The sequence below is a fragment of the Homo sapiens genome, chromosome 4 (genome assembly GCF_000001405.40).
Source record: "Homo sapiens chromosome 4, GRCh38.p14 Primary Assembly".
Lineage (NCBI taxonomy): Eukaryota > Metazoa > Chordata > Mammalia > Primates > Hominidae > Homo > Homo sapiens.
The window spans coordinates 123,642,114-123,665,799 of record NC_000004.12 but is presented as its reverse complement, the minus strand read 5'-3'; the positions used below and the strand labels follow the sequence as shown (position 1 = coordinate 123,665,799).

Genomic DNA, 23,686 nt, shown 5'->3' with positions numbered 1-23,686 from the left:
TCTAATTTAGTAGACTGCCAAAGGAAGAATATCCACAAAACCACAGCCTTCTTGAAGTTCGGAGTAGAAGTTATGGGAAGCTTACTTCTAGTACCACCACCATTTGTAACTGTTTCTTCTACCTTCATTTCTGTCACTTTGTGCAAAGCACTTGGCTTGCTTCATTCTCTCTGCTAACTAATCAAAGGCTTTAAACACCGTTTCCCTCTGATCTTCTTTTCCATGGATAATCACACACTCACACAACTGCTCAACAGGTGTCAGAGGCCTCTTTGATTAGGTCCTTATGCATACCCATTCTTTCTTTCCTATAAATAAAATTTCATTAAATATGGAATACAGAATCTAAAATATGGAATACAGAATCTAAAAATACATTCACTGATAACACCGCTAGCATAAATGAACCAAAAGTATATAGCTATAAGAGAAGATATTAAAAATTCAAATAGTTGGGAAAACAGCAGGAGGCTATTCCCATCCATATTGGCTTAGTGCATTTTACTATTTGAGAGTCTTGATTCGAAGGCTACTATGTGCAATTAGATGTATCAGTTTATCCTGGACTCTCTTTTCAGTCATCCACCATAGGTATAACTTCCCTAATGTACAGTTCAAGGTTATAGAGTAGTTTTAATTAGTATTTATTTGTTGTATAAATAGAATCAGCTCGTGATAGAATAACTAGAACTAGAGTATTATTTTAAAAATTATAACAGCTTCTAACTGAGAATGTATGAAAACCTGCTGAAACCCTCTAAAGAGAGAGAAAATGAGGAAAAACAATGTTAGAACAGATCAGTTTAAAACCCCACTTATTATTCCAGCAAAAGAGAAAATATAAGAATGCACTCAATAAAACAAAGCATCTCTTTACTTGTTGATGTATTTGTGATTATTCAGTTGCCACTTACCTTTTACCATATAGATATCTTTAAAGTATATGGTAAAAGAGGTAGAATGAATAAAGTGGCTAGAACATACATAATTATTGCTAATTGCTATCTTCAAAATTCTAGTTTAAACATGTGTCCAAATAACAGAACAATAATTACATAGTACTTTACTAAATACTCTAATCACAGATTCTCTGCAAAACTTATAGGCCAAAAATGAAAGATAAAATAAAATCTTCTTTGAAAACAGCTACTATTCTCCATCCCAAAAGATAATTCTTCTTTCATTCACACCTTTCAAGTTCAATCATCCTTACTTTTCCAACCTTTCCAAGCTCTATCCTAGGAAGTCTGAAAATCAGAAAAATACTAATCAGTCCCCTAATGGGATAATTAATGAAAATTAAAATATTTTATTTGAGTTGGAGGATACCAAGACCTATAACTTTGCATTAATGTACCTTAGTTTTTTACCAACACTTGTCTTGGGTCATTAATATAACGTATTTATGTTTTAAATTTTTATGAATACCTACATAAACCTAGTGAATAAGCAAAGATTATGGAGAAAGGTAACATATTTGATGCTGCTGCTGCTGCTGCTACTGCTACTGCAGCTATCATTTGGAAAAAAAAAAAACTTTCCACAACGTAACTGCTCATTAATAAGGGGATTATTAGCCACGAGTGGTAGCTCACACCTATAATCCCAGCACTTTGGGAGGCCAAGGTGCGAGGATCACTCAAGGCCAAGAGTGCAAGACCAGCCTAGGCAACATAGCAGGACCCTGTCTCTACAAACAATGCAAAAATGCCAGGCACAGTGGTGAGCACCTGTAGTCAAGCAACTTGGAAACAGGTAGATCACCTGAGCCCACGAGTTCAAGGTTGCAGTGAGCTATGATCACACCACTGCACTCCAGCCTGGGTGACAGAGCAAGACTCTGTCTTTAAAAAAAAGGGTTGCTGGGGGGAGGCAATTATTGAATGAAATATAGAACACATGCAGCTGTAAAAAGAAATGAGACCAATCTCTACATATTATTGTTCAGTGATCTCCAGGATACATTTAGTTTTTACAAAGAGTAGGGGAGAAATTTTATATAGTATACTATGGTTAATATAAGAAGGATAAAAATATATACACATCTTTGCTAATAACAATAAATGAAGGATTAAATCGTAAATGTTTTTAAATAAATCCTTGGAGTGAGGAAATTGAGTTAAGGAGATAGAGAATCTAAACATCTTTGAATACTTTGTTTTATAGATTTTACTCTCAAACCACATTTATAAATATCTTACATAATCATAAAATTAAACTACATTTCTTAAAAAGATATCTCATTTATCTAAAAATAAAATGAAAGAAATATAAAAGTGTATCCAGTTTGTGGCAAAACCACACAAGGATGAACTACTTCATATAAACCTAAAATACAATAAAATGTCATCCATGAGAAGGACCCTAAGGACAAAAATTATGCAAAATCAAAAAAAAAATCTTATACTTTCTCAATAATAATTTTGTTGCTGGTATTGTTGGTATTGTTTATTCTGAAATTACTGTGTATATATTGTGGCATAAAGGAAATGGGTAACTAAATTAATGTTATTAAAACTCCAGGTTTTCACCATAAAAACAAAAAAAAAGTTAAAATCAAAGACAATTCCATTGCCTGACTTTAAGTTGAATGTATCAAGATAAATTTATGATCTAGTTTATCTTTTAAAAAAATCTATTTCTAGTTGTGCTTTTATCAAGCTAGAAGAATTACCAACCCAATAGCAATGATCACCCCAAGTGTCCAGATATGTTCTTGAAATAGACTACTAACTGGAATCAGGGCTTCTTGGACAAATGGCTAATTTTAGACATGAGACAGGCCATGTATAAGATGACCCTGGAACAATGTAGATGAAGTCAGGACACTGATATTCACAGGATCATATGAAGAGCACTCAAAAGAAATAGGTTCTCTCTGGCCAAGGTTAGATCAATTTGAGCATCAATAAGAATAATTACAATGAATTAAAATACAAAATATGACTTCATAACAAAAAAAATCTCCTTGGGTCACCTTTGGAGAATACTAGGGAATCAACTCATTATTTGATAACTGATAAATATGGGGGAAAATTAAACTACTTTTCTGCCTGTATTGTATGAACTGAATCTCATGGCAACAATTCAGTTGATAAGAGGAAGTTTCTCTTTATAAAAATATTTTAATTAATGAAGAAAAAATTATAAAATAAGATTATTATTTTTTAGCCATTAATGAATTAATGAGTCAAGAGCTATATTATCTGCTATGGTAATCATTAGCCACATGTGACTATTTAAATTAAAAGTAATTAAAAGTTTTTAAATAAAAAGCCAATTTCTCAGCCACACTAGCCACAATTCAAGTGCTTAGTAGCCATGTGTGGCTAGTGGCTACCATATTAGATAGAACAGATATAGAATACTTCCATCACCATAGAAACTTGTATTAGCGAATGCTGCTCTAGAGAGTCTGGAGTAGATGATGAACTTCAATTGCTGCCAAACTTTGAGTGATGAAAGTGCATAACAGCTTCTTGCAAAAAAAAAAAAATCAAACCTGAATAAACTTAAGCCTCTGGATCTAACTACCAATTTACAAGAAATACAAGGGACAGATGAATGTCTTATACGATGCCATGGGGATCCAGGCAGCAAATTCCAGATTGTGGCACATTATATAAGACACAACACAGAACACAAATGATGCAGTTTTAGCAAAAAAAAAAAAATGCAAGAAAAAAGTTATATTCCCTAAATCTATTTTAAAAATAAAAATAATTATATTTTTTAAAAGAAAAAATTGATAGAGGAAGAATTTACAATTCCATGAGATTTAAGAAACATATCAAACAATTATAATCTATAGCTCTTATTAAAAGCCTGTTTCTAACAAGCTATAAAATAAATAATGACAAAATTTAAAACAATTGTGGAAACGTAAACACTGACTAGATAATTGATAAAAAAAAAAACCTATTAGGCATAATAATGATATTATGAGGATATTTTAAGCATCCTTACCTTTTGGGTACTTATTGAAATATTTGCAGATGAAGTGATACAATGCTTGGACTTTGCTTCAAAACAACCTGGATGTGAGACCTTGGGGAAGTAATAAATGAAACAAGATTAGTTATGACTTGTTTGTTGGAGCTAGATAATGGGACATGGAAGTTCCCATTATATGTATGTATATGTAAAGAATTATATTATTCTTTATATTTTGTATATGTTTGAAATTTTCTGTAGTAAATAAAACTTTCATTGTATCAATCAGTTACAATCCATTGTCATATAAATCTGTTAATGGCAGATGAACTAGCCAGAATATTTAACCATTCTTTATGTGTGATGAAACAATGTATATCTCAAATATTGCTAAAGCTCATTACAACACAAATGTCCATTGTAGAATGCTTAAGTTTTATATAAGTTTTTTTTGTCCAAATAACAAATTAAAATGTTCATCTTAATTAGAACATTCCTCATTTCAAGGGAAAACAGTCAGACATCACTCTTAATATGACACCAGTAGGGGGAGATAGATGCTGGATTTCCTCTGGGAATATTTTTTTAAGAAATAATATATGTTTAATCTGACAGTCTGAATGATTTTAGGGGGAAGGACACTCCCCTGCTGTGTTTTCAATAAGAAGTATGTCTCCATGCTTCATTTTCCAGCCTTTCATTTCCAAGAAAGGAATTCTTTGCTCTGAATCATTACAATCCATTTTCCATTCCAAATATATGGTCAAATTAAAATAATAACACTGTCCGAATTGTTCCTCTGCTTCTCTCTTATCATAGCTCCTTAATGGACTTTCTAAAAAACATTCAAGTATTAACCCCTAAAAAATTAACCCCTCTTAATTTCCCAGGTATGATGCTAATTTAGCATTTGGCTTAAGCTTAAATGCCATTCATTTATACAACTATTTCTTGAATATCTACCATGTGCAGAGCACTATGGTCAGGGCTACAGTTATCATGAAGAATAAGAACTAGTTCCTAACCTCAAGTAGCTTATAGTTTATTAGAGAACATAGCATAAAGTAGGACAGGACAGGACAGGATAGGATAGGAGATACCCATGGTAGAATGGGAGCCCCTGGAAGGGCAGCTAACCCATCCCTGGAGAAAGACTTCCCAAGTGGAATATACAACTATGTCTTTAATTTATTCTTTAATTTCTTTACTCAACATATACTCATTTTATCCACTCAAACACATATTGAGCACCTTTTTTGAACAAGATATGGTGTTTTGTTGATTCAAATCACCATAAAGTCTTCTTGCTCAAGGTATACTATCTGATAGAGCATGCCTACCTGTAGTGATGAACAGTTCTAAACACTTCTTTATTTTGTAAAGTTGGCATTTTCAATATAAATTTCTTTTTCCACTGGAAAACACCAATGATATTCAAATAGTACTTCAATGTATTTTGTACTAGTTTTTGGAAAATATTTTATGTTATATCCTTATATGAAGCTAAATAGAAGCTAGTTATACTTTTTCCTTAATGCTTACACAATTTCTTATGCTCTTTAACCAATTTATTTAAAATACTTTTGTTGTCAAGACCAGAACACCACAGAAGAGACTTATCTTATGGTGCTCCCACTTCACTAAGCCTGGGGTCATTTACATGATCCTTTCACGACCAGTAAGGGGAAAATTCCTCTTCCTGAACTTATACCTTTTGAGTTATGGCCTTTCATCTCTTCCTGGTCTTCCCAGTGTCATCCCCTCCTTCACCCCAGCCACAGTCCAACACATCAAGTTTGCTAAATGTAAACATAAACTTTCTATCTTATGAGATCTGTCACAGAATTGTCCCAACTTGTCAACAGTCTTGGGTATTTAAAAAGTTCCACAAGGGGCTCCCTTGTACTACTTTTATTTTGTATCCCAAAGAGGCTTCACTTCTTAGAATTCTGACCTAGTCTCACCTCCCTCTTTCCCCAGGTCTAGGCTGATACTCTGAGATTCCAGGATGTGTAAGCGATCTTTACCTGCATAACCCCAGACCTTCTATTTCACTTCAGGTCAAAAGAGTGGCAGAGCAACTGGATGCCTCCTCAGCCACCACCTCAGCTGGCATCTTCCTGAGGTGTCCTTTCAAGAAGTTTCTGATGAGTCTTTAGTTCTCTTCCAGGCATTAAGTTTTATATTGAGTTTTCTTTTCTCCAGTGTGCTTTCTGGATTCTGTTTTCCCCAGGCTCCTCTTCCTGTTTTCTGTTTATAGTCCACACTTGCTCTGGAGGTACTGCAGCCCTTCCACTGTGGATTATCTCTATCAGGTTCTTTCATGCCTATCCTCTCCAAATGTCATGTACACACCCTGTTATCTTCCCACAATTCTGTCCTCTGAACTCTGGACCTGGAGGTTTCCATCTCTGATACACAACCTCTGACTTACATCCCAGATAATCCTTCCCCTGCAAAGTTCCAGTAGCTATCTGATGACAAAAGGGGGTGGTTTTCTCTCCCAAAGACCATGCCCCTGACCTTTCCCCTTTCTTCCTTCTGGCCATTCATCATACCCAGAGCATCTACTGGGAGCTGAATGCATAGTTTTTCCAAGTGGACCACTATTTTTACTACAATAAAAAAGGACTTTTAAGATAAAAACTGTATCCTGAAATGATGAGTGGAGTTAGAAGGATATAATGTCCTGTTACTTGGCTTTTTGAGGGTTGAGCATCAGCCTCCTCCAAGCCCTCTCTGGGTTAATATCATTTCTTATCACAAGCAACTCTCCTAACCCTGACCCTTGGGGGCATCTATCTTCACTGGTTTCTTCTATGTTCACTTACTGCTGCAGATTGAGTTCTCAATCCACTCCCTGGAACTGTTGGGTCCTCTGCCTTGGCCTTGCCGTCACTTGCTCAGCTTCTATCACAACTGCCTTTCGATCATATGCCCCCAGCATCTCAGGAGCATCCCACATTTATTGGTTCATTCTTAGTTACTCTAATGTTCTTGGCTCTTCTTTTCAATAGAGGTCTTCCTTTTATTTCCCCAGGATATTCTTCACTTTACATCAGTTCATGTTGGTGCCTCTTCTCCCTCCCTCTCTCTCTTCCCCTCCTCATCCTTCCCCCTCTGAAATTTTATTTTTCCTAAAGCTCCAAGCTTATTTGCAACTCTGCTGCCAGCATCCCTAACCTCTTAGGTGAAAAATCATGAGGGTCAAATCAGGCACATTAGTTTGGTGAACTTTCAAACATCCCACTCTCTGGAATTTTGATCAGGGATCTGACTTTACTAACGTTGTTGTTTTGACCTTAATTACATGTGCACTTTCAAGATTCTGTTTCCATTTTATCACATCTAGTTCAAAAATCACAATGTTTTGGAGGGAAGCATATTTTGATGAATTTTATATTATTTTATTTAGAATCCCTTTGCTGTATTCTCATTGTTGTGATCTGAGTACCTGATGTAAAAATCGTGCAGTAGTGTGTGTTCATTTGGAATGAATGAGGAAAAAATCTGGAGTGAATTACCTAAAGGGTCTAAGTCAGCTATATGACCTAGGTTGCACATCAGAACCACCTGTGGAACCTTCATAAAGTGAAAAAGATATGCCTCTCCCTCCCCTGAGCAATTCTGATTCAGGAACTTGATGGGAAACTCAGAACTACTCATCTACATGATTCTTGAGATAGTGACATCTATAGCCACAAGGAAGGTACGGTGCCTGGAACTTCATCTCTGTGAACTAATATAAGTAATAAACTTGGCCTTCTGTGATTTCACCTTGCCTTCTTTGCTTCTCTTCATAGAACCAAACTTTATATGATTTCCTCACTCTTAAGAGCCCCATCTGGATGTTCTAAAGTAACAACAAAAATAATTGTTTAGATGGACTGATATAGTTTAGCTGTGTCCCCACCCAAATCTCATCTTGAATTATAGTTTCCATAATCCCCATGTGTCATGGAAGGGATCCCGAGGGAGGTAACGTAATCATAGGGGTGGTTACCCTCATGCTTGTCATGCTGTTCTCCTGATAGTGAGTGAGTTCTCATGAGATCTGATGGTTTTAAAAGGGACTTCCCCCTTCACTCAGCACTCATTCTTTCTCCTGCTACCCTGTGAAGAGGTGCCTTCTGCCATAATTCTAAGTTTCCTGAGGCCTCCCCAGCCATGCAGAACTGTGAGTCAATTAAATCTCTTTCCTTTATTAGCTACCTACTCTTGAGCAGTTCTTTATAGCAGTGTGAGAACAGACTAATACAGTAAATTGGTACCACAGATAGTGAAGTGCTGTTATAAAGATACCCAAAAATGTGGAAGCAACTTTGGAACTGGGTAATAGGCAGAGGATGGAACAGTTTGGAGGGCTCAGAAGAAGACAGAAAAATGTGGGAAAATAGGGAACTTCCGAGAGACTTGGAGGGCTCAGAAGACAGGAAGATGTAGGAAAGTTTGGAACTTCCTAGAGACTTGTTGAATGGCTTTAACCAAAATGCTGACAGTAATATGGACAATAAAGTCCAGGCTGAGGTGGTCTCAAATGGAGATGAGGAACTTGTTGGAAACTGGAGCTAAGGTAACTCTTGTTATGCCTTAGCAAAGAGACTGGCAGCATTTTGCCTCTGCCCTAGAGATGTGTGGAACTTTGAGATTGAGAGAGATGATTTAGGGCATCTGGCAGAAGAAATTTCTAAGTGGCAAAGCATTCAAGAGGAAGCAGAGCATAAAAGTTTGGAAAATTTGCAGTCTGATGATGCAATCAAAAAAAAAAAACATTTTCTGGGGAGAAATTCAAGCCTGTTGCAGAAATGTGCATAAGTAACAAGCAGCTGAATGTTAAGACAATGGAGAAAATGTCTCCAGGGCATGTCAGGGACCTTCATGGCAGTCCCTCCCATCACAGGCCCAGAGGCCTAGGAGAAAAAAATGGTTTCATGGGCCAGGCCCAGGGCCCCCCTGCTGTGTGCAGCCTAGGGACTTGATGCCTTGCATCCTGGCTGCTTCAGTACCAGCTGTGGCTAAAAGGGGTCAAGGTATAGCTCAGGCTGTGGCTTCAGAAGGTGCAAGCCCCAAGCCTTGGCAGCTTCCACATGGTGTTGAGCCTGCAGGTGCACAGAAGTCAAGAATTGAGGTTTGGGAATCCCACCTAGATTCCAGAAGATGTATGGAAACACCTGGATGTCCAGACAGAAGTTTGCTGCAGGGATAGAGCCCTCATGGAGAACCTCTGCTAGAGCAGTGTGGAAAGAAAATGTGAGGTTGGAGCCCCCACATACAGTCCCCACTGGGCCACTGCCTAGTGGAGCTGTGACAAGAGAGACACTGTCCTCCAGACCCCAGACTGGTAGATCCACCAACAGCTTACAGCATGTACCTGGAAAAGCCATAGGCAATCATTGCCAGCCTGTGAAAGCAGCTGGAAGGAGGGCTATACCCTGTAAAGCCACAGAAGCAGAGCTGCCCAAGGCCATGGGAGCCCACCTCTTGCATCGGCATGCCCTAGATATGAGACATGGAGTCAAAGGAGGTCATTTTGGAATTTTAAGGCTTAATGACTGCCCTGTTGGATTTTGGAATTGCATGGGACCTGTAGCCCCTTTGTTTTGGACAATTTCTCCCATTTGGAATGGGTGTATTTACCCAGTGTCTGTACCCCATTGTATCTAGGAAGTAACTAACTTGCTCCTAATTTTACAGGCTCATAGGTGGAAGGGACTTGCCTTGTCTTAGATGAGACTTTGGACTTGGACTTTTGAGTTAATGCTGGAATACTTTGGGGGACTGTTGGAAAGGCATGATTGTGTTTTGAAATATGAGGACATGAGATTTGAGAGAAGCCAAAGGCAGAATTGTATGGTTTGGCTGTGTTCCCACCCAAATCTCATCTTGAATTGTAGTTCCCATAATCCCCACGTGTCATGGGAGGGACCCAGTGGGAGGTAATTTAACCATCATGCTGCTCATGCTGTTCTCATGATAGTGAGTGAGTTCTCGCAAGATCTGATGGTTTTATAAGAAGCTTCCCCCTTCGCTCAGCACTCATTCTCTTTCCTGCCACCCTGTCAAGAGGTACCTTCTGCCATAATTGTAAGTTTCCTGAGGCCTCCCCAGCCATGTGGAACTGTGAGTCAATTAAATCTCTTTCCTTTATAAATTATCCAGTCTTGGATATTTCTTCATAGCAACATGAGAACAGACTAATACACAGACATATGAGTAAAAAACCCAAAATCTTTTTCCAAAGGAAAAGAAAGAGTGGAGGCATTTTGTCATGCTAATTTATCTGCAATGAGATATGAGAATTTCTTTCTGCACTCAGGATGGCCCTTTGATTTATTTATCATCTAATACTCTTCATAACATGGGGACATCTGAACCAGGATTGAAAAAAGTATTTGGAGTAAAGAGTCTTTAGAAAGAATGGAAACAAAGTTACCAAAGATTTTACTTGCTCACACATTTATTGAATGACCATGTCTTGTCTAGTGAATGCCAGGTGCTGTTAGGTGACATTTTCTACAATCAAATTTAGTAGCCCTTAATTCTTTTTTTTTTTTTTTTTTTTTTGAGACGGAGTCTCCCTCTGTCACCCAGGCTGGAGTGCAGTGGTCTGATCTCTGCTCACTGCAACCTCCGCCTCCCAGGTTCAAGCAATTCTCCTGCCTCAGCTTCCTGAGTAGCTGGGATTACAGACATGTGCTGCCACGCCCAGCTAATTTTTTTTTTTTTTTTTTTTTTTTTGTATTTTTAGTAGAGACAGGGTTTCAGCATGTTGGTCAGGCTGGTCTCGAACTCTTGACCTCATGATCCACCCACCTTGGCCTCCCAAAGTGCTGGGATTACAGGCATGAGCCACCACGCCCAGCCCCCTTAATTCATTTTTAAGAGCCTGAGTTCATGAGAGAAAAGGAGAGGGGGAAGCTAGTTTCTTTATGCTTTTGTCAATCCCATTCTCTCTTTATTCTATACCTTATCATGGCCATTTTATTTTCAATTCTTTTCCATTTCCTTTCATGTCATGTATACAGTCAGCAAGAGGGGAAGAATACCTTTCCTTCTCTGCTAAGAAATAGCAAGGGATCTTGAATAATTTTCCCTCTGATATGTGTTAACTGATCTTGTTCTACCTCTGTTTTTGCTGTTGGATTGCTGTCTGTCAGACACTGCTGATGATTTCTAAGTAATTCATTTGTCCCACAAGTGGGACAAATTATTCCCTAAAATACTTGAGAAAGTGTACAGTAGAGGAGCCTAGAACAACAAATCTGGCTCAATTCTAGCCTCCTATAATTATCTACATGCCCTGAGGGAAGCCATTTATACCTGAGACTCCATTTACCCCCTCTGTATAACGGACGTGAAGACCTACATGTATTATTAGTCCGTTATCACACTGCTGATAAAGACATATCCGAGACTGGGCAATTTACAAAAGAAAGAGCTTTAATTGGACTTACAGTTCCACATGGATGGGGAAGCATCACCATCATGGTGGAAGGCAAGAAGGAGCAAGTCCCATCTTGCATGGATGGCAGCAGTCAAGGAGAAAATGAGGAAGAGGCAAAAGTGGAAACTGCTCAAACCAACAGATCTCGTGAGACTTACTCACTACCAGGAGAACAGTATGGGGAAAACTGCCCCCATGATTCAGTTATCTCCCACCGGGTCCCTCCTAAAACATGTGGGAATTATGGCAGTACAATTCAAGATGAGATATGGGTGGGGACACAGAGCCAAACCATATCACCACATAAAGGGTGATGAGTATTATAAGCAATGTCCTTTAAGTGCCTAGTATAGTTCCTATCTTACGGTAGATGGAGATATTATTATTCATTACTGCAATGGTTAATACTGAGTGTCAACTTGATTGGACTGAAAGATACAAAGTATTGATCCTGGGCATGTCTGTGAGGGTGTTGCCAAAGGAGATTAACATTTGAGTCAGTGGGCTGGGAAAGGCAGACCCACCCTTAATCTGGTGAGCACAATCTAATTAGCTGCCAGTGTAGCTAGAATATAAAGCAGGCAGAAAAATGTGAAAAGAGAGCCTGGCCTAGCCTCCCAGCCTACATGTTTCTCCCATGCTGGATACTTCCTGCCCTTGAACATCAGACTCCATGTTCTTCAGTTTTGGAACTTGGACTGGCTCTCCTTGCTCCTCAGCTGGCAGAGAGCCTATGGTGGGACTTTGTGGTCGTGTGAGTTAATACTAAATAAACTCCCATATATAGATATGGAGTTTATGGCAGACTCCTATATAACCACCACTAACTGCCATTAAGCTTTAAAAATAAAAGAGTTTTGTCAGTAAATATATGAATGGCTTATAGATGAACACTTCAAATAATCCATTACACAATCTCACCACTCAATATCATACTGTCAAAGAACTCTTATTAAGCAAGAGGACATGTCATGTGAAAGACCCAAGATACACTGAACCATATTACATCAGTACCCTGTTTTGTTTTTACCACTAGACAATTTGTTAGACTGATTTATTTTCTGTTATTACTTTCCATTGTTCCAGGAAAAGGAAAGAAGGAAGAAAGTCTCTTCCTTTGAATGTTAAAGATTTAATTGCGGCTGGGCGCAGTGGCTCACACTTGCAATCCCAGCACTTTGGGAGAATGAGGTGGGTGGATCACAAGGTCAGAAGTTCGAGACCAGCCTGGCCAACATGATGAAACTCCTTCTCTACTAAAAATACAAAAATTATCTGGGTGTGGTGGCAGGTGCCTATAATCCCAGCTACTCTGGAGGCTGAGGCAGGAGAATTTGAACCTGGGAGATGGAGGTTGCAGTGAGCCAAGATCGCACCATTGCACATTGCACTCCAGCCTGGGCAACAGGGTGAAACTCCATCTCAAAAAAAAAAAAAAAAAAAAAAAAAAAAAAAAAAAAAAAAAAAGCATTTAATTGCACTTAATTTTGAACAGAAAGCATGGAGAAAACATCACTTACCTTCTCAAACTCCATTTTGTACACCCCAATTGACTGAGTGGTGCTTTCCCACCCTCATCCACAGATCACAGAGACACAGCTAGGACAGAAGAATTCTCCTCTAACAGCAGATCTGGCTGGGTACAAAAAAAAAAAAAAAAAAAAACAGGAAATGTTCTAAGTGACTTTCATCCATTTATTTCCAAAGTAAATAATCCCACAGAAATGGATAGGAAAAAAATTTAGCCTACATTCTTTTACTTTACAACATAGTTCCAGATATAGTCTTTGGTTTTATTTTCATAACAAGTTACGTTCTTAATATGTCACAGTGAATTTCAAGGAAAGCATTATTTGTCATGGTTCCAAATATTAATGTCTCTGATGAAATTGATGTTTCTGTCATTTCTAGTTGTCAGAGTTTCTGTTTCCTCAAGGTCTTCTCTAGCAACAAAATCCCAAAATTCTTTAAGAACATGAAGATGGCTCTTGATACAATTTTGTATTATATTGCATGTTAGATCTACAAAGAGGCTCTTCTCCCTATACTGAGAGAAACTCTTTCTGATTGAGTCCTTGTGTCTTCTAAAGTGGATCACTTTATGGTATTGTTTGTTCTTAATAGTAATGATCAGAATGGTAACACTAAGCAAAGAGCACCTGTAGGGCTGGGCTAATTATTTTACATATTAGTTTATTTAATCCTCCAAACTTCCTGTAAAATAGGTTTTCATTTCTGCATGGCATAAGAGAGGCTTTCAAGGGATTAAGAGGCTGCAAGTCACAATTTGGTAAAATCTGGAACTAGTAAAATCTACATCTCTCCCCAACTCCAAAACTTGTGTTCTTTATGCAGTACTAACCAGAGTAAGAAGGAAAATGTGTAAATAAATTATGCTACTTGACAGTTATAGAACCTAAGCAAATGATAAATGCAAAGTCTACCAGTAGTGAGTCAAGAGCAAAGTCTAGGGGTTGAACCCAAGCAGCCCCAGACATCCAATCCAGAGCCATGTTTGGGTTAACATTCATAATGTTTTGATTTTTATTCAGAATAATTGCCCACATTTAAAACTATGCAGAATTCCCATAAAAAGCAGGACTGAGAACTTCTATTGACAAATCAGAATATCTAGCAACTTGGGCCTCCACATTCCCACATGGTAGCAATAAGTGAAGCAGAGTAGCAGATGCCCCTTCGGACAGGACACTCCACCCATGCACTGCAGCCTACTCTCTGCTGACTTAGTTTGTGTGCCTGAACCCTCAGGGCTTTTGAGTTTGTGACCCTCCTTTTCTCCATGGCATCCAATGTAGTCAAATTAGAAGGGTAAAATGTTCTCAACTTCATAAATATACAGTGTGTCAAAAACTATAAGAAAGAATGTAACTTGTACCTTTTCCTCAATGGTTTCTTCCTGGGGATGACCCAGAGATTGTGAGGGTTTGGAGAACAGCCTAGGGCCTTCAATTAAAATAGTTTTGTCTTTGGTTACTACCGGAATAAACCTGTAAGCAGACAGCTGTTTCATGCCAGCTGAAATTCTAGTCTTGGGTGGGATGGCAGAGGTTTATGACTTCAGATGAGAAACAGGCAGGAACAGATTATATTCTTATGCCAAGTTTCTCTCTTTATTGCCATGGAAGCAAGAAGAGCAATGCAGAACATGGAAAGCTTTGCTAGAGCAGTGTTTCACTCAGACTTTCTGCAAGACATCAGGAGCTGCTCGAGATTTTGCAAACACATTTATGGGAAAATCATGGCTATAGAAAAGCTCCTAAAATTAAAACAGAGCTGGAAAAGAATAAAGATCATTGCATTTGTCTTTAAACTCAGAAGCAGAACCCCTGGGATTTAGCATTGTATAACAACACTGGAAACATTATTAACATTAATAAATAAACATCTGGATTGACTTGCAGTCTAAATTTAAGTGTCCTAAATATTTTGGCTCAATTATAACTATACTGCTTTTTTCTAAATTCTCAAATGTTTCTTCTGTCCTTAGCTTATATTTCATTTTCTTCTAACTCTTTTAACTCGAATCTTTAAATGGACCTTGTTGTATAAATGTTTAAGCACCAAATGTCTATATAAGGATATGGAATTGATATTGATTTCAGATTTCATATTTGTACAATCTGGGTTCTTTACATACTTATAGGCTTTTAATTGGAATTACATAATCACACCATTTGTTTATCTTTATTTCATATAATGCTTTCTGTTATATATAATTTCAAGAGTGCCAAAATTTACCAACAAAGTTTTAGTTGAGCTAAAATTAAACCTGCATGCTATTATGAAGCTATCTGTTATTTCCATTTTTAAATATAAAATTAGCCAGAGTTAGCCCAGTTTGGGATAGTATTAGGGAGAACCCATAAAATATGGTGACATAAACCACATTATGCCATAATCATGGCCAAGTTTCACTTGAATTCTCAAATGTATTCAAAAAGCAAGAGTAAAGGTCAGCAAAACACATCTTCACCAAGAAAAGTGCAGTAAAACGAATGCCAAATTAAATGGGCCAGCTACAGAGAATTCTACCCATAAACACAATGCTTATACTTAATCTGTTTCTCACCACCTTCATTTGAGAACGCTGGTCTCAGGTCCCTGGGCTGCTGTTCCTGCCTTGAGCTTTTTTGTCGTTGCAAGCCACGGGGTTGCTATGCAAAGTCCCAACGCATGGAACCAGAGTTAATCATTCACAGGCCTTTTTGCCTGAAATAAGATGCTTTTCATTTCCCTTGGCTTATGTGAATAATGAAAAAAGAAAACAAACAAAGGAGATAACTGCACAATGTTAAAAGATAATCCCTTAGCATAACTATTGTCTAGAAGGCTGAGCACCGTAGTCAGGCAAAAATCCAGTCTGCATTCAGTGACTACACTGACATTTATTTATAAGAGATTATGCCGTGACAGAGCTTCAAGTCATTTAGAAATGCTCCCATTCCCCAAGGCCTTCGTTATATTTATATGCAGGAGCCCATATTATTTTTCCTGGTGTTATGGCAACAAGGATTTCAGTGTTTACAGAGCTATCAAGTTCTGACAAGCCAAGCCGGGGACTTTGCATCACTGGCTTGCATTAAAATGGAGCGCAGGACCTGGAGAGCTGAGCTGAAGCTCAGCTGTCTGAACAACTAATACCTGAGCAGAAGAGGGTTAGGAAGCAGGCAAACGGTGCTAATCAACTCACAGAGCCACTTTCCCCCAAGGGAATTTGCCCTCATGATCCTGCGGTTTAAGAAATATATTACAAAATACGCTGAACCTAGGAAGTCATATTAAACTCAAAAGAAAAACAAAACCCAAATTCCTACTACAATTTTGTACTCTGCGTGGATGTTTTAAAGCTGTGTTGAGTATCGTACATTAGAGTCCTTTATTAGGCCTCTGGAGTAGAGAAAGGGGAAATGAAAATGCAGTGGGTGAAGAAAGGGCAGAACAAATACTCTCTCTGTGCCCACCTTTGGTTTTTAACTACACAATGGAGATCAGCCCAGCTTACGTTCACACCTAATTTAACCACTGCCCAGGGCCCAGTAGTTTCTAGCATACTCCAGCTCTGAAGCTAATTACTGCAGGAAGCTGGTTATGAAAATGTCCCAGAAATATCTGTATCTCACAGACAAAATTATTTTGAGAACTTGCCACCTGCTCCACGAAAATAAATATATGGAAGCAGGACCTTGCGCTCCATGGTTTTCTACATTGAAGTTGTTTTCTGGAGTTGGCCCAAACTCCTCCATATTCTCTGACTAGAGACAGAGCTAGAAATCATTTAAAAAAAAAAAAAAGTCCTTCCAAACATACTCTTTGGACATCTTGGTTCTAGATGGAGCAGGAAATAAAAGCCACAAGCTTAACCTCTGATACAATAAGCTACCACCTTCCAGTTCTAGATTTGGGCCTGGGAAATAATCAAGTCAGAGTAAAATGAAACAAGGAGTTCTAACCACATTTCTTTTTCTTCTTTTTCTTTCTCTCTTTATTTTCTTTCCTTTATATATGTGTGTTCATAAGGGTATTGGTACTCATTTGGTTATAAAAGTGTCACACTGAATTGTAGAATGAACTTCACACACGTCTAAATCCTTTTCAGTTTTTTTGAGATAGGGTCTCCCATTGGCAGTGCAATCATGGCTCACTGCTGCCTCAACCTCCCAGGCTCAAGTGATCTTCCCATCTCAATCTCCCAGGTAACTAGGATTACAGGCAAATGCCACCATGCCTGGGTAATTTTTTGTATTTTTTTGTAGAGACAGGGTCTCACTATGTTGCCCAGGCTGGTCTAGAACTCCTGGGTTCAAGTGATATGCCTGCCTCAGCCTGGGATTACAGGCATGAGATACCACACCCAGCTAATTTTTTTTTTTAATTGAGGTTTTGTTCTGTTTTAAGGATAAATAGCAAGAAATATGCAGATTTCCTAATGCTTAAGGTGAACATTTCAACAAATAATGAACTGAGACTTGCCAGGTACCGTAGACATGTGGAAAAAAGTTTTATTTACACAGTATACACTTTTAAGTCATATAAAATAATTTTTAATGGCAGAAAAGGTAGTAACAATAATTACACTAAATGTCTCTGAATGTCTTTCTTAGTAAACTAGAGCTATATAAGAAAATAGCTAGAAATGGGTGAGTGTGATCTCCTGGATTTTCCCCTTGGAAAAGACCAGTATTGACAGGGCCGCTTCACAAGACTCACTGGGAAGCCTGGGAGAGGCACAGGTCTTTGTGGCCCAGATACACAGCAAGCCCATTCTCTCATTAGCAACAGTGACCACTGTTTACAATACCTGTTGCTATCAGAGACTTTACCTTTTTTTTTCTTAAGAGTTAATCTTGCTCATAGTTTGTCAGCTCTTTTGGGATCCTAGCACACAAACTAGATTATCTGCGGCTGCTCTTCCCAGCAGCCAGAGATTAAAGGATATCATTTAAAGTTGTGCTTTCGGTGTCTTTTTATTTCTTTTGGTCTGCTCACTTCAGTTTACCACACAGCAGCTGCCAAGGCAGCTGATGTTACCATCTTCATCACAATGGTCTTCATCATTATCATCAAGAGAAGAACTTATTACAAACGTAATTTCCCAGATATCTTTCCTATGTGCTCTCAAGAAAATTACATAAGCTTGGGTCTGACCACAAACTCTGTAAATTCATCATTCATTCATTCATCATGTATTTTTTAGCCTTTAACTGTGTATGGCACTGTACACTACACTAAGGATACAGTAATATACAAGGTAAACAAGGTCTTCATCCTGATTGAGGTAAAATTCTATGGGGAGACAGTCAAATACAAATAAATCAACAAGTAATACAAATGCTGGTGTCAAATTTGCTAAAAAGGAAATTAAGACATTATGATGAGAATGACATAGACTATCTTTAGATATTGAGTGCTTAAAAACTTCTTCCCTGAATGACATTTAAGAAGGGACTTGTTGGGTAAGAAAACAGTTCTGAATTAATAAACTAAAAGCATTCTGTTCATGGTAAACCTAATGCTGCACAGGGCTCTTAATGGCTACTTAAATTAGATAAAATATTTCTGCCATATTTTACATCTCTCAGTTTTCCAGAGGATTGAACTGGATGATTTGGGGGAAGACTTATGTCTTACTCCAAAGCTTGATACTACATCATTAACTAATTCTATCTTTTGACCTCATTCATATTTTGGGTCCCACAACAGACCAGGACCTTCCTTTACTGAAGGAAGGTATAGAAACGTGTTTTTTAACCTGGCAGATTCCTGAAAAATTTCTCTTAGTATCCATCCTGAATTTACATACAAAATAAACTATATGGTTTATATACAAATCACTAATGAGAACATCTAGCACTTTCATCAGGTTTTTAAAGGGCTCTGAAAAAAGGATACAGGCACTCAGACAGATGATTCTAAAGTAGTCCATTGCTCTGGAATCTTTCAAAAAGTTGACTTGGACTCTTTTTTTTTCCATAATAGGCCAAGCTTCAGTTTCTTCATTCCACATACTTTTTAAAAATTGGTTTATAATCCAACATTTGTGTTTAACTACCTATTTCAAGATCATAATAACATGTGCTCTTGAAATATCAATAAGTCAAATATGGGCAAATGACTTTTGTTCGGTTGCCAGCTCCAACCCAATAACCTCTCCATGACTACTCCAGAGACATATGTAACAGGCTAAAAGGAAGTCACTAGAGGTTGTTGGTCCTCAGGCTCATCTAGAAAGATAATCCCAAGATGCACTTAACGACTGCGGAGACGTGGGTCGATGCAAGGCCATTCTCTATCCCTGATCCAGCCCAAGAGGAAGTTGATTGGATGCAGGTTTCAAGACCTAGAGTAAAATCATCATCAGAATCACCTGAGGGTTTCTTAATCTCAGTTATGTGGATGAGTTATGTGGGTGTAGATATATGGGTGTCAGTGTACTACCTTTTTAAACTTCTTTTGTATGTTTAAATTTTTTCACAATAGAAAGATGGGAAAAAGTAACTTTGCACAAGCTAATATTACTTTTATCTACACCTCTCCACTGGCCCACATGGTTATGATTCAAAAGATTCGCAGTAGAGACGCACACATTTGTGTATTTTGAAAATAAAGAGAAATATTCTCCTATGATTAAGATAGGCACACCTTGAAAACCACTGCCCTAAGAGGAAGTGGGAGACAAGGGCAATCGCTTCCCACATATGAAGCCCTTTCAGCATCCCCCTCAGTATCAACTCCCTTTTCCCCTCCCAGGAGAGCAAAGAGTCATTTGGGGGGCAGAATACCTGGACTGAACCCTCCGTTGTTTCCAGTGAAAATTGCCAGCTTCTGATTTAAGCTTCTAATATTTAGGCATACATATATATTATATATTATAAACATATACACACATATAAAAGCCCAAATATATGTGTGTGTGTATACATATATATGTACACATCTATATAAGCCTGGTGACAGAGCGACACCCTGTCTCAAGAAAAAAAAAAAAAGCACTTTTGCATGGCTTATTCTCTTTCTTTCCCTGGCTTCGCTCATGAAATCATTGGGTTCTCCTAGAGACATGTCCTTAATTAGTTACCTGCATAAGAATTATCATCTAAAAGGATTCACTTTTGCGAAGGCAGCCTGACACCCAACTTTTCCATTTCTAGCTCAGGGATATCTTGATAAATGTATCTCACTCCTGAGTAAATCAGACATATTGCAAAGAGGAATGATAGTAATTTTTAAATGATGCAAAAGAAATCAGTATTAGTATGTCTCAGAAAGTTCTAAGTTCAAGTTCCTATGTTTCAGATAAGCTATATATATATATATATATATAGAGAGAGAGAGAGAGAGAGAGAGAGAAAGAAAGAGAGAGAGAGAGAGAGAGAGAGAGAGAGAGAGAGAGCCAGGAGTTTGAGAGTAGGATGAGCAACATAGTGAAACCCTATCCCTAAAAAAAAATTTTTTTTTAATTAGCCAGGTGTAGCTAGGACAGTCCTAGCTACTTAGGAGGATTGCTTAAGCCCGGAAGTCCAAGGCTGCAGTGAGCTATGATGGTGCCACTGCACTCCAGCCTGCGTGACAGAGTGAGACACTGTCTCTAATGTCTCTACAATCACCAGCAGGACCCTCAATAGTGTAACTTAGTAGAATTAAATATACTGAGGGCAAAAAGCACGGCTTCTAGGAGCTGAGTAACTTTGTGCAAGTTATTTAATTTCTCCAAGGCTTAGTTTCATATTTGTTAATGTGGGTAATAATACTCACTATACAAGGATTTTTGAAGATTAAGTTTTAAAATCTATCAAGAAATGCCTAGCACAACGTCAGGCATATAATAGGCACTAAATAAATAATAGTTTCTTGTTCCTTGAGACATGTTTCTGAACTGGATTGTACTTTTTTTTCCTGAAATTCTTGAGAATGACTGGATTCCAATTGTTACATGGTACTAGGGGCAGTCTATTAAAAAGTACAGATCCTCATTAACACAATCTGACATGATGCTGGCAGAGCTCTCAAAAACAAGGAACTCATAGTTTTCTTTAGTTTTAGCTTCTATATGAGAAAAAGTTTATTTTTATAGTGTATTTGAACAAATAGAACTGACCTATGTTTTAAAATATATAAAGCTGATTACATGTACAACTGTGTGTCCAAACTTCTGACATGTTAGACTATCATCACTGTTTTCCACTTGGACTCAAGGATGTTAGGTTTCAGCATATGGCTGCCAAGGAATGAAGTCTCATATAGAGTGGGGGCATAAGGCCTGGCCCAACAATCTTCTGTAGGAATCTATGTTCCCACCTAGATTGAGTGCCTAAGCACCAAGTAACACTGAAGCAATAAAATCACTTCTTTTTCATTTTGTTTTGTTTTTAGATGGAATATAGGATTTTATTTTATTTTTATAATTTCAACTTTTATTTTAGATTCAGGGCACACATGTGTAGATTCATTATGTGGGTATACTGCATGATGCTGAGGTTTAGGGTACAATTGATCGTGAGCATAATACCCAACAGTTAGTTTTTTAAACTTTGCCCTCCTCCCTCCCATCTAGTGGCCTCACTGTCTATAATCACTTCTGAGAGAAAAAGAAAGCATGTACCAGAAGAAGGTTAAAAGTAAAAATATATATAAGACATAGAGTTGTAAGAGGAATAGACGAAATTATGAGAAACGGTAAAAAATTAATGAACAATAATTATTGGCAAAGTAGTTAATATAAGAGACATACAGTTCTAGCTTACTATTTGTAATTTCTAAACTCAAAATAAGTCTGTCCAGATGGATGGATGAGTGAATGAATGGATGGGTGATGGATGGATAGCCACAGATATTAAAGATGTTATCATAGATTGATAGCTGTTGAAATGAATTGAATAAGGAAGAGCATATACCAAATTTCTGAACAGGCATACACTACAATTCCCAGATGAAGGCTTTATTTTTCCATGTGTCTTTGTCATTTTCCTTTTATGTATTACCACCTGGTGCCCTTTTGTTCCCCAGCCTAGCCCCATAAGAATGCAAGTTGCTTGGCAACTGATCCATTCACTCAAGTGTCTCAAGGAAATAACCCTAGTTCCTAGGATGGTGCATGATCCAAGTTATTATAGTAAGTTCTAGTGTTTACATCTAAATCTGAAGAGATAATCCTTGTCCACAGTATTTCCATTGCAGTCTATGAAAATCCACGTACAAGCCAAAAAAGGTAAATGAGAGCAATATGACCTGTTCTTTCTTTCAAGAACTATTAATTTCAAAACATATGAACAGATACTGGTGCAAGTTAGTCTGATGCTGAAATATTCTTTGGTCAAATAAAACCAAGAAAATGTGTGAATGCTTGTAGGCAAAAAAGATATTTAATAGATATTTCCAGTATTCTAAGTAATAGAGGTCATATAAGCCACACAATGTGATTGAAATGCTGTTTTTTTTTTAATTTGAAACTTCAGCCTTTCCAAACTAAAGCTTAGAAACACATAAATATGTATACACATACCCTTCTAGCTATTTTTCACATTTTAGAGAAAGCAGTAAAACACAAAGAGGAAAGTAATATATTACTGTTTGCTTCAAAGGTTTTAGGGCTCATAGAGCTAAAGACAGGGGTCGTCTCTTCAGAGCTACGAGGCGTAGAGAATGGAAAGAGTCCATTGGTTTATATGGACAGACTTATTAGCCAAGAGTACATAAATCTGCTAAGCAAGAGACACAGAAGGGTGGCTTGGAATGCTTCTGTTCCATTACAAAACACATTGTCTTTCAGTATGCCAAAAGGAAAGCTACCACACATAGCATAAGGCCAGGTTCACCTCCTTATATTCATTACAACTAAAAAAAAAACTGTAACCTTATTTTTTCCCTCAAGAGGCATGTTACTATGTGCAGGAACTCTTTATAAAATAATTATTCCCTTTCCTCCAAATTGAACCATTAGACTCTCATATGTAGAGCATCTTATAGAAAAATACATATATCTTTATTATTTATTGATATGAAACATAAGCATGAAGGATTGAGTGAGTAAAGCTCAGACACCTCTATAAAAACTTCTCCAAATCTAATGAAATCGATACACAGAAGTATGGGATCATTTGGGGGCAGTTTCCAGGTCTAAAGCGATGAAGTTTTAGTTTGAAAGGCAAAACTTTTATTATTTTATTTTGTAATTTAAGTAGTATGTAATAATTAAGTCTTCCGCTATTCTGTACTAAGTGATATTATCCCAGTCCACCCAGAATCTGGCAACAGAATCAGAACATTTTACTCTGAATTAAGAATACCAAAAATATGTATACCTAAATTAAGGCTATCAGATTGTGTGTTTCTTTCAACTAACAAGTTGGTAAAGATTTTGAAGGATCATGCCCAGTACTGCTGAGGAGCCAGAAAGAACAGCATTTCCACATACGATTAGTAGAAGTATAATTTGATGTAAATTTTTGGGAGGAAATTTGTCAATATACATCAATATTTTTTAATGTGCACATTATTTAATCTAGAAATTTAATTGCTAGGAATTAACTCTTAGCAAATTTGGATACTGAGAGATAATTCAAAAGATGTCCATAAAAGGTAGTTTATAATGGCCAGGTGCAGTGGCTCACGCCTACAATCCCAGCATTCTGGGAGGCCAAGGCAGGCAGATTGCTTGAACCAGGAGTTCAAGACCAGCCTGAGCAACATAGCAAAACTCTGTCTCTACTGAAAATACAAAAATTAGCCAGGTGTGGTGGCATGCACCAGTAGTCCCAGCTACTCAGAAAGCTGAGGTGGGAGAATCACTTG

At 37.7% G+C, this 23,686-nt stretch overlaps 1 long non-coding RNA gene across 1 annotated transcript in view; it reads right to left on the bottom strand.

The window, feature by feature from the left end:
- Positions 1 to 15,809, bottom strand: part of LINC01091 (long intergenic non-protein coding RNA 1091) — a 280,788-nt gene extending 264,979 nt beyond the window's left edge. The window contains exons 1-3 of the long non-coding RNA NR_027105.3: positions 15,471 to 15,809; positions 12,898 to 13,013; positions 3,967 to 4,047 (exon numbers count right to left, since the gene is read on the bottom strand). This is a non-coding gene — a long non-coding RNA (long intergenic non-protein coding RNA 1091). The remainder of the gene's footprint in view (positions 1 to 3,966; positions 4,048 to 12,897; positions 13,014 to 15,470) is intronic.
- Positions 15,810 to 23,686: the final 7,877 nt, after the last annotated feature.